General features: G+C 38.0%; 1 pseudogene across 1 annotated transcript in view; it reads left to right on the forward strand.

Annotated features, from left to right (window-relative positions):
* Positions 1 to 14,418, forward strand: part of LOC100287072 (ribosomal protein S6 kinase B1 pseudogene) — a 107,286-nt pseudogene extending 92,868 nt beyond the window's left edge. The window contains exons 9-14 of the transcript NR_172472.1: positions 303 to 365; positions 551 to 628; positions 1,683 to 1,731; positions 4,891 to 4,998; positions 9,424 to 9,535; positions 10,583 to 14,418. The product of NR_172472.1 is annotated as a ribosomal protein S6 kinase B1 pseudogene (transcript). The remainder of the gene's footprint in view (positions 1 to 302; positions 366 to 550; positions 629 to 1,682; positions 1,732 to 4,890; positions 4,999 to 9,423; positions 9,536 to 10,582) is intronic.
* Positions 14,419 to 15,076: the final 658 nt, after the last annotated feature.

The following is a 15,076-nucleotide window of genomic DNA, read 5'->3' on the forward strand; positions in this document are numbered from 1 at the left end:
GATTCTCCTGCCTCAGTCTCTCTAGTAGCTGGGATTACAGGCGTGCGCCACCACGCCAGGCTACTTTTTGTATTTTTAGTAGAGAAGGGGTTTCACCATGTTGGCCAGGCTGGTCTCGAATTCCCAACCTCAGGTGAACCACCTGCCTTAGCCTCCCAAAGTGCTGGGATTACAGGCATGAGCCACCATGCCCAGCCAATAAACTATATTTTCTCAAGGCAAAGTAGACAAGCAAAGTCTAAAAAGGAAAAAAATCAGTTTGACTAAAGTTCTTTATCCAGGCTTTTTTATCCTTTTTAAAGCTACTGAAAAGAAATGCTGCTTCTCATCTGGGAGCTGGTCCTGGGGATGCTGGAGATGTTCAAGTAGGTATTGGCATCTTTGGTGTTTTGTGGGGAAGATAATGCTAGTTTTATGTATTTCTGAGGGTTATATGTAGTTGCTTATAAGTTAGCTTATTTTGTGACTTGTAACTTCAAAAAGGTGATTAATTTATCAATCCAGCAAAGTCTATTCCCCTCAACTTTTCTTTCTGCTTTTTTTTTCCTAGGCTCATCCATTCTTTAGACACATTAACTGGGAAGAACTTCTGGCTCGAAAGGTGGAGCCCCCATTTAAACCTCTGTTGGTAAGTATACATGAAAGCTTATAATTGGGTGCAGTGGCTCACGCCTGTAATCCCAAAACTTTAAAGGGCCGAGGTGGGAGGATTGTTTGAAGCCAGGAGTTCAAGACCAGCATGGGCAACATAACAAGACTCCATCTCTACAAAACATTTAAAAGTCAGCTGGGTATGGTGGCATGTGCCTGTAAGTCCCAGCTACTTGCGAAGCTGAGGCAGGAAGATCGCTTGAGATTTTTTTAGAGTAAGAAAAATCTCAGAGCAGACAGAAACGTTATTTTTATTAGCAGTTCAAAGATCTCTGGTTTATCCTCTCTTCAGCATCTTTGTTTTTATTATTTATTTATTTTATTTTGAGACGGGCTCTCACTCTGTCACCCAGGATGGAGTGCAGTAGCACGATCACAGTTCAATGCAGCCTTGACCTCCCCAGGCTCAGGTGATTCTCCCACCTCAGCTTCCTGAACAGCTGCGACTACAGACACATGTCACCATGCCTGGCTAATTTTTTTGTATTTTTTTGTAGAAACGGTTTCACCATGTCGCCCAGGCTGGTCTCGAACTCCTGGGCTCAAGTGATCCACCCACCTCAGCCTCTCAAAGTGCTGGGATTACAGGTGTGAGCTTCTGCACCCAGCCAAGCATCTTTTATTTTTGTACTATCTTTTAAAGAACTAAAGCCAGTGGCAATTGACTGTATTAGCTATTTTTAAGTCAGTTACCTAAGACAATTAAATATTTCGGGTAGTTGGGACCTTTCTTTTTTTGGTTTGTTTTATTTTGCTTAATTTAACCATTTTAAATATGATTCTTTGGGAATTTTTTCTTCAAAATATAGAATATATGTGCATTAGTTTGCTAGGCTTGCTGCAACAAAGTACCACAAACCAGGTGGCTTAGACAACAGAAATTTATTATCTCATAGATTTGGAGACTAGAAGTTCTAGATCACATTGTTAAGAGTTGGTTTCTTTGACAACCGTGACAAACTGTATGTTCCATGCCTCTCCCCTGGCTTCTGGTGGTTTGCTGGTAATCTTTGTCATTCTTTGGCTTGTAGGTGCATCACCCGGATCTCTGCCTTCATGTTCACATGGTGTTCTACCTGTGTGCGTATCTGTGGCCAAATTTCCCCTTTTTATAAGGATACCAGGCATATTGGATTAGGGTTCCTCTCTACTCCAGTAGGACCTCATCTTCACTGATTACATCTGCAATAACCCTTTCCAAATAAGGTCACATTCTGAGGAACTAGAGGTTAGAATTTCAACATATTAAATTTTTTGGGGGGTGGGTAAGGCACACGATTCAATCCATAACAATATGTTTATGAGTAAATGAGTTAGTGTGTTAGTTATTGTCTTTCTCCCACTTCAGAATCTGAGAAAACAGTTTCTTTTTCCATTCCTTGGGATGTAGGTGGAGGAGGAGGAGGATGATGATAGTGATTATTTTTTGGTCATGGAGCATAATGTGACCCACTTTAAAAAACAACAAACAATTGTAAGGAGGATGACTGTCATACACCTACTGCACAGCTTAAAAATGATTAGGTCATCTTGTTTAAACATAACTGCCATCCCACCATCACACCTAAGAAGTTGACAGTTTCCCCAGTTTTTTTTTTTTTTTTTTTTTTTTTTGAGATAGGGTCTTTCTGTGTTGCCCAGGCTGGAGTGCAGTGGCATGATAGTGGCTCATGGCAGCCTCAACCTCCCAGGCTCAAGGGATCCTCCCATATAGCTGGGACCACAGGGGTGCATCACCACACCCAGCTAATTTTTTGAATTTTTCTAGAGATGAGGTCTCCCTGTGTTGCCCCACCTAGTTTTGTTGTTGTTGTTGTTGTTGTTCCATTCTTTTTTTTTTTCTCCTGTTTGTAAGGATTTAATCAAGGTCTGTATATAGTTTGATTACTATGTCTCTTAAGTCTCTTTTCATTTATAGATTGCCCTAATGATTTATTGAAGAAACTGGGTCATTTGTCCTGTAGAATTCTCAAATTTTGATTTTGCTGATATTATCCCCATAGGTGTCATTGCCCATGTTCATCTGTTCCCTGAATTTCCAAAAACTGGTAGTTAAATTTAGGTGGTTGATCTGATTCAGATTGAACTCTCGGTATTGCATATGCTTTGATCAGGAGGCATAATGTGTAGTTTGTGTGTGTGTGTGTGTGTGTGTGTGTGTGTGTGTGTTTAGTGATGTTAGTGGTCACTGATCATTGCCTGTGTCAGCATTTCACTACCAGGGTAATTTGGCAATGTCTGGAGACACACTGATTGTCACAGCTTGGGGGAGGGAATGCTATAGGTACCTTCAGGGGTAAGAGTCAGCACAGCACAGCCCCCTACAGCAAAGTATTAATAGGCCTAAAATGTCAGTAGCCCTGAGGTTGAGAAACTCTGGCATACTTTTATAATTTCATCAGGTGTTTGTGAAATGGTTTTATTCTGTTATTTCTTCTTTCTTTGTTAGCTGGAATTCTTTCATAAAGAGAAACTCTTTGAACAGTTAGTTACACAAGGTATAGTTCATACAGGAAAGGCAGGATGTATGTTTGATTCTTTCCTAGTTTTCAAAATAATGAATTAGTTCCCTAGCATCTTCCAAAATTGACCAATGAACTTTGTGTATGTGTTTTTTTCTTCTTTAGTATATTATGAACTTACACGTTTTAACATATTTGTGTTTCATTTCATTGCAGTTATTTTTATTTTTATTTATTCATTTATTGTTTTGAGGCAGGGTCTTACTCTGTCACCCAAGCTGTAGTGCAGTGGTATAATCTCTGCCCACTGCAGCCTTGACTTCCCGGCCTCCAGCAGTCCTCCCACCTCACCCTCTTGAGTAGCTGGGACCACAGGTACACCACCACGCCCAGCTAATTTTTGTGTTTCTGGTAGAGACAGGGTTTTGCCATGTTCACCAGGCTGGTCTTCAAATCCTGAGCTCAAAAGCAATCCACCTGCCTCTGCCTCCCAAAGTGTTGGGATTATAGGCGTGAGCCACCGTGCCTGGCCGTTATTTTTATTGATGCTCATTTTTTCCCTTCGTTGAATGCTGGGTGCATCTTCATATTGGGTTCTGAGTCCTTTTGACGAGCACGTTGTCTGGTGTTGGACAAGAGAGCAAAATAAGGAAACTGCTGTTCTCTGCTTATCTTTTACATTTTCCCCACATTTGGAATCAGCCATTCCTCCAGGGAGTGCAAGTTCACAGTCTGGGCTCTAAGAGAATTATCAGGTCAATGTGGTCATCTTTTAGTATTAAGTCAGATATTCTAAATTATTATTTACTTCCTAGATTTGGCCCAAGAGTCTAACCAGATATTTTGGGAAAGAGACAAGGAATTACATAAATCAATCTCATGGTTAGAACTGAAGTGATAACTATACTTTCACAAGGGAATATAACTTATAACCCATGCAGAATAGAAAATTATTTTTGCTCCTTTAGATTTCTAAAGGAATGAAATAAGCTGTGGGAAGAAACTTTAACTGGAGCATCTTACCAGTATTATTCATGTTTTAACTCTGCTTCAGTAGTTTTTCAGGTTTGTTACAAACCTGCAGTAGCCAACTGAACTAATTATCTCTAAACAGGGATTTAGCCAGTGTACTAAGCACACTGAAGCTTTGTGAGAGAGGAAATTGATATTCACATTTTTTCCAACTTGTTTTGAGCTCAATGTATTCACTTTTTTTGTTTTGTTTTGTTTTGTTGTTTTTTTTTATTCAGACAGACTCTCGCGCTGTCACCTGGGCTGGTGTGCAGTGGCACAATCTGTGTTTGCGGCAACCTCTTCCTCCCGGGTTCAAGCAATTCTCCTGCTTTAGCCTCCCAAGTAGTTAGGATTACAGGTGCCCACCACCACGCCTGGCTAATATTTTGTATTTTTTGTAGAGACGGGGTTTCACTATATTGACCAGGCTGGTCTCGAACTCCTACCTCATGATCTGCCCGCGTCAGCCTCCCAAAGTGCTGGGATTACAGGCATGAGCCACCATGCCCAGTTGATATATTCACATTTTTAATAGGAATAACAGTATACTAAAATCTATTTTAATGCATGTTTAAGATTTGAAGATGTAATTTGACTCAGTACTTTCCACCTGCATTTTTTTCTTCATTCTGTGCCTGCTAAGACTATTCTAATACTTTATTATAGTTAACCCCTGCGAAAAGAGCTCCCAGAGCTTACAGTGCATTTGATTGATGTAATATGGACTATTCATTATTTTCTAAATTATTTTGTTTGTATAAAGCAATCTGAAGAGGATGTAAGTCAGTTTGATTCCAAGTTTACACGTCAGACACCTGTCGACAGCCCAGATGACTCAACTCTCAGTGAAAGTGCCCATCAGGTCTTTCTGGTAAGTGAAAGAATTTCCATATAGTTGTGGGAAATTTTAAGTATGAGGATGGGCTCTTCGAGAAGAAAATTCAGTTTGCTTGCTTTGCAGTTCATGTAGGTAACCTCGCCCGCTTTTTTTTTTTAATAAGCCATGCTCTTATAACTTATTGATACCTACAAAATTGATTTTCGTAATCCAACATTTTATTTTAGCAATTAGAGTGGGAATGTACAATTCTTTGGAGAGTATGATTCCCTTTTTCGGTTGGGCCACAGACTTAAAATGATGTTTGGCTTAGCATCTCAACCAAAAATTAAGTCATAGCAGTGGGGGAGAAAAACCTCACTAACTACATGTATTTTATTCCTGAAACAGCTATAGATTTTTGGTACCTTTTTTTTTTTTTCTGAGACAGGGTCTCACCTTGCCCAGGCTGGGTGTAGGGTGCAGTGGTGCGATCACAGTTCACTGCAGCTTTGACCTCCCAGGCTCAAGTGATCCACCCATTTCAGCCTCATGAGTACCTGGACTACAGGTGTGTGCCACATCCAGCTAATTTTTAATTTTTTTGTAGAGACAGAGTCTGTTTTACTCCTGGACTCAAGCTGTCTTCCCACCTTGGCTTCCCAAAGTGCCAAAATTATAGGCCTGAGCCATCATTCCTGGCCCTATTTTTGGTACTCTTAACATAAGTAGGGTTTTTTTTTTTTTGAGTCGGAGTCTCGCTCTGTCGTCAGGCTGGAGTGCAGTGGTGCGATCGCAGCTCACTGCAAACTCTGCCTCCTGTGTTCAAGTGATTGTCCTGCGTCAGCCTACTACAGGCACGCACCACCACTCCCAGTTAATTTTTGTATTTTTAGTAGAGACAGGGTTTCACCATGTTGGCCAGGATGGTCTCGATTTCTTGACCTCGTGATCCACCCGCCTTGGCCTCCCAAAGTGCTGGGATTACAGGCATGAGCCACCGCGCCTGGCCAAGTAGGGGATTTTTTAACATTAATTGTGAATATTTGACATCAAAATATATTGGATCATATGTAATAGTGAATTCTCATTGTAGAAATATCTGTATAGATTTATAGCTTGTCTCTTCAGAAAAGTAAAGGTTTTAGATATTGGCCAACAGAAATGATGGATTTATATCAGATGACCATCAATGCATATTATTTTGCTTAAATATCATATATGGTTATTTTATTACTGTACTTATATGTCACATGAACATGTATCTCATTTTGTATCCTTTTTTTTCTTTTGTCATTCCTTTTTGGACTACCTCTAGGGAGAATAGAATATGGGGAAAGCAATTGTTTCTGAGTGTTTTTTTCCCTCTTTTTGAGTACACTGGATTTGTCACTAACTTAATTCTCAAGCTTTTCTTCCCCACACTGCTCACTATGTAACACAAGTAGTGTTGTATCTTATGGGATGGGAAATAAGCTCTAATAATAAGCTCATGGGGCATGGTGGCTCACGCCTATAACCCTGAGGTCAGGAGTTCGAGACCAGCCTGGCCAACATGGTGAAACCCCCTCTCTACTAAAAATACAAAAATCAGCCGGGTGTGGTGGCATGTACCTGTGGTACCAACTACTTGGGAGGCTGAGGCAGGAGAATGACTTGAACCCAGGAGGCAGAGGTTGCAGGAGCCAAGATCGTGCCACTGCACTCCAGCCTGGGCGATAGAGTGAGTGAGACTCTGTATCAAATTAAAAAATTAATTAAAAAAATAAAGTTAGCATGGAATGCAAAAGTGTGTAGTACAGTATGGTTTCGAGTAAACAACACTGAATAGTAATAATCCTATAAATTAGTAATATAGAGCATGTAGGCAAAATATAATCTTACAGTATTAATTACATAAGAGATAAAAGATGAGTGAGTGCATGCATGTTTTTAAATTCAAGTTTGATGTGTGCATGATCAAAGTTATGACATCTCTGTTAGTAAAATCTTAGGTTCAGTTAAGGAAATGAGCATGAATCACTTTAATTTTGGCTTTTTTTTCCTCTCATGTGCTACTGATGTGGAATTTATACCTTTGATTTAACATAGAGACCTCTTCGTCAACTGAACATTGCAAAATTTCAACTTATGTGACAGTTTTCCCCCCACAAAATAGAAGCATTTTATTTAGCTACCAAGAAATCCAAAGTTGTGGTGGTAAAAGTGAGATATTGAAGCTTTCATTGCCAGTTAAAGTATTGTTGAGCTCTTCATAATTACTTAAATTGGCTGTAACTGATGAACAGAGCAATTTTTTTGTTAGGTTGTAGCCAGAATTCTGTACATAAAGTGGGTCTCTTTAAACATTAGTAAAAAAATAGGCCAGGTGCAGTGGCTCACGCCTGTAATCCCAGCACTTTGGGAGGCAGAAGTGGGTGGATCACAAGGTCAAGAGTTCCAGAACAGCCTGGCCAATATGGTGAAACCCCATCTCTACTAGAAATACAAAAATTAGCCAGGCATGATGGCTGTAGTCCCAGCTACTCGGGAGGCTGAGGCAGGAGAATCACTTGAACCTCGGAGGCGGAGGTTGCAGTGAGCCGAGATCGTGCCATTCACTGCACTCCATCCTGGGCGACAGAGCGAGACTCCATCTAAAAAAATATATATATATATGTGTGTGTGTATATATATATGTATATATATGTGTGTATATATGTGTGTGTATATATGTATATATATGTGTGTATATATGTATATATGTGTGTGTATATACGTATGTATATATGTGTATATGTATACGTACATATATATGTATGTGTGTATATATACGTACGTATATATATGTGTGTGTATATATATACGTACGTATATATGTGTGTGTATATACGTATGTATATGTGTGTGTATATATAAGTACGTGTATATATGTGTGTATATATATACGTACATGTGTGTATATATGCATACGTGTATATATGTGTGTGTATATATACGTATGTGTATATGTGTGTGTATATATATACATACGTATATATACGTATGTATATGTATATATAGTGACATCCCACTTATCTGGATAATGTGGTTCTAGCAACCTCATTTCAACAAATATTTCAATTCCTGTTGTAAGACCCCATCACAGAATTAGAGGAAATTCAAAGATGATTAAGGCACAGCCTGTACCTCTTGGTAGTTACGGCTTTAGTCCACTAGAATGTTTGTAAAATTATTCTCTGAAGTTCACATATAACTGTCACAAATCATATGCACTTCAGAATTGCACTCTTTGGGCCTTCACCCAGAGCTTTGTTGAGTCTTATTTATTGTAACACATAATGCTTACTCATAGATTTTGATAAATAGAAGAGAGGATAGGTGAAGATGGTTAAAAGAATGAATATTGACAGTAAGAGAAATGACAGCTGGTAGCCTAATAGTAAGGCCCAAGAGAGAACTAAAACGAACAAAACTGCATTTTTGCCTATTACAAACGAAGGTTTTTGAAATGTTGATACTTATTCATCAAGAAAATACCAAATTCTAGCTGGGCAGAGATCACACATGCCTGTATAGTCCCAGCTACTTGAGGGGCTGAGGCAGGAGAATAGCTTGGCTCCAGGACTTTGAGGCTGTGGTGAGCTATGATATCACCACTGCACTCCAGCCTGGGCAATATAGGGATACCCCATCTCTTAAAACAAAAAACAAGTTCTGTCCAATCATTGCCATAAACCAGAAAGATCACAAGATCTGACTTTGATGCCAAATCAAAAAATTGTTTTTACTTTGACCTAATTATGAGAAACTGTTTTGGGGTGATAAACTTAATTGCTTATATGCCTGTGGCTAGAAACACTAGAAGTTTCTTTACATTTCTCCTAGTATTTAACATCTTTTTTTTTTTTAATTTTTGAGGTGAAGTCTTGCTCTGTTGTGCAGGCTAGAATGCAGTGGTGCGATCTCTGCTCACTGCAACCTCTGCCTCCCAGGTTCAAGTGATTGCCCTGCCTCAGCCCCCCGAGTAGCTGGGATTACAGGCGTGCACCACCATGCACGGCTAATTTTTGTATTCTTAGTAGAGATGGTGTTTCACCACATTGGCCAGGCTGGTCTTGAACTCCTGACCTCAGGTGGTCTGCCCGCCTTGGCCTCTCAAAGTGCTGGGATGACAGGCGTGAGCCACCGTGCCTGGCCGTATTTAACATCTTCATATGGAGCCTGAATTTTCCTTTTTTTCGATTCCTGTCAGTAGGGTGGAATTTTGTTTGCTAGCATATCAAGCTCAATAGAATTCTGCTTTCTTGAAGTGTGTGCCTCACGAAATGGCTGGAAAGAAGTTAACAGGTCTAAAAATGAGGTTGAGGACGTGGGAGACTGTACACATTGGTGGTTTTAGGTGTGCATCGCTGTGTAGGTATGTCAGACTGAACAACCCCATTTTCTTGAGATATATGACAAAATGCCATTCTGTAGTCCACTGTTACTGTCTTTCAGGGTTTTACTTATGTGGCTCCATCTGTACTTGAAGTGTGAAAGAAAAGTTTTCCTTTGAACCAAAAATCCGATCACCTCGAAGATTTATTGGCAGCCCACGAACACCTGTCAGGTATGTCACACTCTTATTTTCACTTTTTTTTTTTTTTTACAACCTACAAGAGTGTTTACTTAAGAAATTTATGCCAAGTTACATAAATGAAAGACTGTCATATTCTCTTTGGTTGACATAAGCACAGCATCTATATCTTACATTGCAAAGGACTAGTCTGACTAATCTATGATGTTATATGGTTTACCTTCCCTCCTGAAAGTAAGCAGCCACACTGGCAGATGTCTTCTTTATCCATTCACTCAGCATTTATTGTGTACCAAGAGCACCAGCACTACATGCTGCATGTTATGTATGTGTGTATATATATGAGTGTGTATATATATAGTACTATAATACAGGAATTGTCCCTGTCCTGATGAAGCTTACAATTTAGGGGGAGAGTCACAATAGACAAAGGATATACAAAAATACAATTACAAGTAGTGCTAAGTGCTATGATTTAAAAGGGGAAAGAAAGAATGTAGTGGTAGAGAGCAGAGGAAAAACAAGGGGGCTTCTACTCACAGTGGTCAGAGAAAGGCCTCCCTGGTGTAGTAACATCTAGCAGTGAACAGAAAGAGCCAGCCCTACAAAAATAGGAGGTATAAGAATGTTACAGGCAGAAGAACAGCAAATGCAAAAGCCCTGAGGGAGGAGAAAAGTTGCCTTTTCCTGGAAATGAAAGGGAGATCAATGTTCCTGGAGTGTGTGGTGAGTGAAGAGACGGGCAGAGGTTTGGAAAAGTATTTTATTTTAAATGCAATAGAAAGCTGTTTTGAGCAGGGGAGAGTAAAATGATATATATACTATGTATTTAAATATATATATATCTCATTGAGGGTTTTGGGGGTCAGGTGTAGAGGTAAAGAGACCAGTTAGGAAATTCTAGCAGTTAATATAGGCGGGGGAGAGATGGTTCAACTTTTGCCTTTGTGCTAATCCACATGAAAATAAAATTAAATGAAAATAAATGTCATATTACGCCACTCCCTTTAAATGTAAAGGAAATATGTCTGTTGAGATGACCCTTAAACAAATGAATGACAGCTCTTCCTTGTCTTAAAGCCCAATTTTCTCCTGGGGATTTCTGGGGAAGAGGCGCTTCGGCCAGCACAGCAAATCCTCAGACACCTGTGGAATACCCAATGGAAACAAGTGGCACAGAGCAGATGGATGTGACAACGAGTGGGGAAGCATTGGCACCACTTCCAATACGACAGCCGAACTCTGGGCCATACAAAAAACAAGCTTTTCCCATGATCTCCAAACGGCCAGAGCACCTGCGTATGAATCTATGCCACAGCAATGCTTTTAATGAATTTAAGGCAAAAAAGGTGGAGAGGCCGATGTGTGAGCATCCTACAGGGTGAAACAAGACTCAAAGTGACAATTTCAGAGAGTCAGTGTCATTACATAGAACACTTTGGACAGAGGAAAAATAAACATGGATTTTAAAAAAATCAATCAATCGTGCAAAAAAACTTAAAGCAAAATAGTACTGCTGAACACTCAGGCACATCAATTAATTGTTTCCTCGTGACATCTTCTCAACCTTATCAAGGATTTTCATGTTGATGACTCGAAACTGACAGTATTAAGGGTAGGATGTTGCTTCTGAATCACTGTTGAGTTCTAACTGTGTCGAAGAAGGGTTATCCTTTCATTAGGCAAAGTACAAAATTGCCTATAATACTTGCAACTAAGGACAAATTAGCATGCAAGCTTGGTCAAACTTTTTCCAGCAACATGGAATCAAAGACAAAAGAAACTTACCAATTGATGTTTTACGTGAACATAACCTGAATCTTTTTTTATATAAATATATATTTTTCAAGTAGATTTTTGATTCAGCTCATTATGAAAAACATCCCAAACTTTAAAATGCGAAATTATTAGTTGGTGTGAAGAAAGCCAAACAACTTCCGTTTCTTCTCTTGGTGAAATAATAAAATGCAAATGAATCATTGTTAACCACATCTGTGGCTCGTTCGAGGGACTGGGGTGGACCTGGGGTTTATTTTCAGTAACCCAGCTGCAATACTCGTCTGTAATATGAGAAAAAAAAAGAATCTATTTAATCATTTCTACTTGCAGTACTGCTATGTGCTAAGCTTAACTGGAAGCCTTGGAATGGGCATAAGTTGTATGTCCTACATTTCATCATTGTCCCGGGCCTGCATTGCACTGGAAAAAAAATCGCCACCTGTTCTTACACCAGTATTTGGTTCAAGACGCCAAATGTGTTCAGCCCATGGCTGAAGAACAACAGAAGAGAGTCAGGATAAAAAATACATACTGCGGTCGGCAAGGTGAGAGAGATAGGGATATCCAGGGGAAGAGGGTGTTGCTGTGGCCCACTCTCTGTCTAATCTCTTCACAGCAAATTGGTAAGATTTTCAGTTTTATTTCTTTCTACTGTTTCTACTGTCTACCTTCCTTATATTTTTCTCCTCAACAGTTTTAAAAAGAAAAAAAGGTCTATTTTTTTTTCTCCTATACTGGGGCTACATTTTTTTATTGTAAAAATATTTGATGGCCTTTTGATGAATGTCTTCCACAGTAAATAAGAAAACTTAGTGGCTTCATTTAGGAAACATGTTAACAGGACACTATGTTTTTGAAATTATAACCAAATCTACATAAATGATTTACAGGTACAAAGAATAAAAGTAAAGGTAACTTTACCTTCCTTAAATATTTCCTGCCTTAAAGAGAGCATTTCCATGACTTTAGCTAGTGAAAGGGTTTAATATCTGCAGAGCTTTGTAAAAATATATTTCAGTGCATACTGGTATAACAGATGATCATGCAGTTGCAGTTGAGTTTTACCACCTCTTTTTGTTTGTCTTTTATAATGTCTTCAGTCTGAGCATGCAGTCAATCTGTAATATTTTGCAACCCTAGGATTTTTTCAAATAGATCCTTTTTGAGCCATAGGATCCAAGCCATAAAATTCTTTATGCATGATGAATTCAGTCAGAAAAGAGCAAGGCTTTGCTTTTTGAAATTGCAACTCAAATGAGATGGGATGAAATCCTATGACAGTAAGCAAAAACAGAACCATGAAAAATGATTGGAAATATACCTTTTCAATTGTGGCAATAATTGAAAGAATCGATAAAAGTTCATCTTTGGACAGAAAGCCTTTTAAAAAAAATCACTCCCTCTTCCCCCTCCTCCCTTATTGCAGCAGCCTACTGAGAACTTTATGACTGTTGCTGGTAACTTAGAAGCTACAATAATAATTAAGGGCAGAAATTATACTTAAAGTGTAGATCCTTGTTCTCTGACAATTTGTGATGTCTGAAAAAACAGAACCTGAAAAGCTATGGTGACGTGTACAGGCATTATTTCAGACTGTAAATGGCTTGTGATACTCTTGATACTTGTTTTCAAATATGTTTACTAACTGTAGTGTTGACTGCCTGACCAAATTCCAGTGAAACTTATACACCAAAATATTCCTCCTAGGTCCTATTTGCTAGTAACATGAGCACTGTGATTGGCTGGCTATAACCACCCCAGTTAAACCATTTTGATAATTAGTAGTGCCAGCAATAGTGGCAAACGCTGCAACTTTTCTGCATAAAAAGCATTAATTGCACAGCTACCATCCACACAAATACATAGTTTTTCTGACTTCACATTTATTAAGTGAAATTAATTTCCCATGCTGTGGAAAGTTTATTGAGAACTTGTTTCATAAATGGATATCCCTACTATGACTGTGAAAACGTGTCAAGTGTCACATTAGTGTCACAGAAAGCACACACCCGTGCAATATGCCTTATCTATCTTTATTTGTAAAAATCCAAGCATAGTTTAAAATATGAAGTCAATATTACCAGTCTTCAGTTTCTAAGAGGGTTCTTTATGATTATACTAAGTGTATAAAAGAGTTTAAGTGCTTTCTTTTTCATCACTTACTTTCTTTAAAATCAGCTATTACAGGATTTTTTTTATTTTATACATGCTGTTTTTTAAGTAAAATATAATCACTGAATTGAAGTTTACTAATTTGATTTTATAAGGTTTGTAGCATTACAGAATAACTAAACTGGGACTTATAAACCAGCTGTGATTAACAATGTAAAGTATTAATTATTGAACTTTGAACCAGATTTTTAGGAAAATTATGTTCTTTTTCCCCTTTTATGGTCTTAACTAATTTGAATCCTTCAAGAAGGATTTTTCCATACTATTTTTTGAGATAGAAGATAATTTGAGGGGAGGGGTGGAGGATGCATGTATGATACTCCAAAATGTCAACATTCTTTACTATAGGTAATAAGTGATTATAAACAAGATGCATTTTAGATAGCATTAATATATTGAGCCTTGGATTATATATTTGATATAGGACCTGTTTTGAATATTCAGTTAATCATATGGTTCCTAGTTTACAAGAAGAGCTAGATCTAAGATTATTCCCATGAGAAATGTTGAATTTATGAAGAATAGATTTTGAGGCTTTGAAAATGGTTAATTTCTCAAAAACATCAATGTCCAAACATCTACCTTTTTTCATAGGAGTAGACACTAGCAAGCTGGACAAACTATCATAAAAGTATTTGTCACACATAACCTGTGGTCTGTTGTTGATTAATACAGTACTTTTTCTTGTGTGATTCTTAACATTATAGCACAAGTATTATCTCAGTGGATTATCTGGAATAACATCTGAAAGATGGGTTCGTGTATGTTTGTGTTTGCGCTTTAAATTATTGTTTCTCCTATCCCAAGTTGGCTTTGCATCTATCAGTAAATAAAACTATTCAGCTGCGTTATCAGGAGTGCTGTGCTTTTCTGCTTTTCATCTTGTATTTAGTTTACTGTATTATTTGATTTTGGATTGAATGAATGTAAATAGAAATTAAATGCAAATTTGAATGAACATAAAATAGAAGTGATTTTTTTTATTATCCTGATAGGAAGAAATTAGTATACATATCAGGTGTATAAATGGTTTAAATAATTTATTTTCATTAACATGTCAGATGTGTTCAAGTTGTCATATAAATAAACTGTGTGTAAGGAATGGGTTAAAAGCTGTTCTGCTGAGAAATTGAAGCTATTTAAGTATATAACAAGTTTTAGTATTGATTTTTATGTTAGATGTTACACATCTTTGTTTTTCAACTTATAGTCACGTAGTAGACATGAATTATTTACTTAAAAAAATACATGTAACAACCTATGTGAAAACTAGCCTCATAAAAAACTCTAGGAAGACCTTCTTGTGCTAACAATCAACAATTTGTTCAGCCACACTTGGTCAGCTACATTTGATAATTTGGTATGTATGCACAAAATAACGTAGTGAACTAATCTGTTTTAACTCATGTCTCAATATATCTAGTGTGAGCTGGGTATTTTGCATGAACCACTTCTTACCTGTGAGGTAATTATATCACACTTAGCAAGGGGATTTCTCTACAGAAGCTCTCAAACTGACTTTACCTTGCTATACAACATAGTAGCGTATCAATACTGGTAAAACAATCTTTTAGAAGTCATGATCTGAATTCACAGAGTAAATGGGTTTCTGAATCTATATTA

Source organism: Homo sapiens, chromosome 17 (genome assembly GCF_000001405.40).
Source record: "Homo sapiens chromosome 17, GRCh38.p14 Primary Assembly".
Classification (NCBI taxonomy): Eukaryota; Metazoa; Chordata; class Mammalia; order Primates; family Hominidae; genus Homo; species Homo sapiens.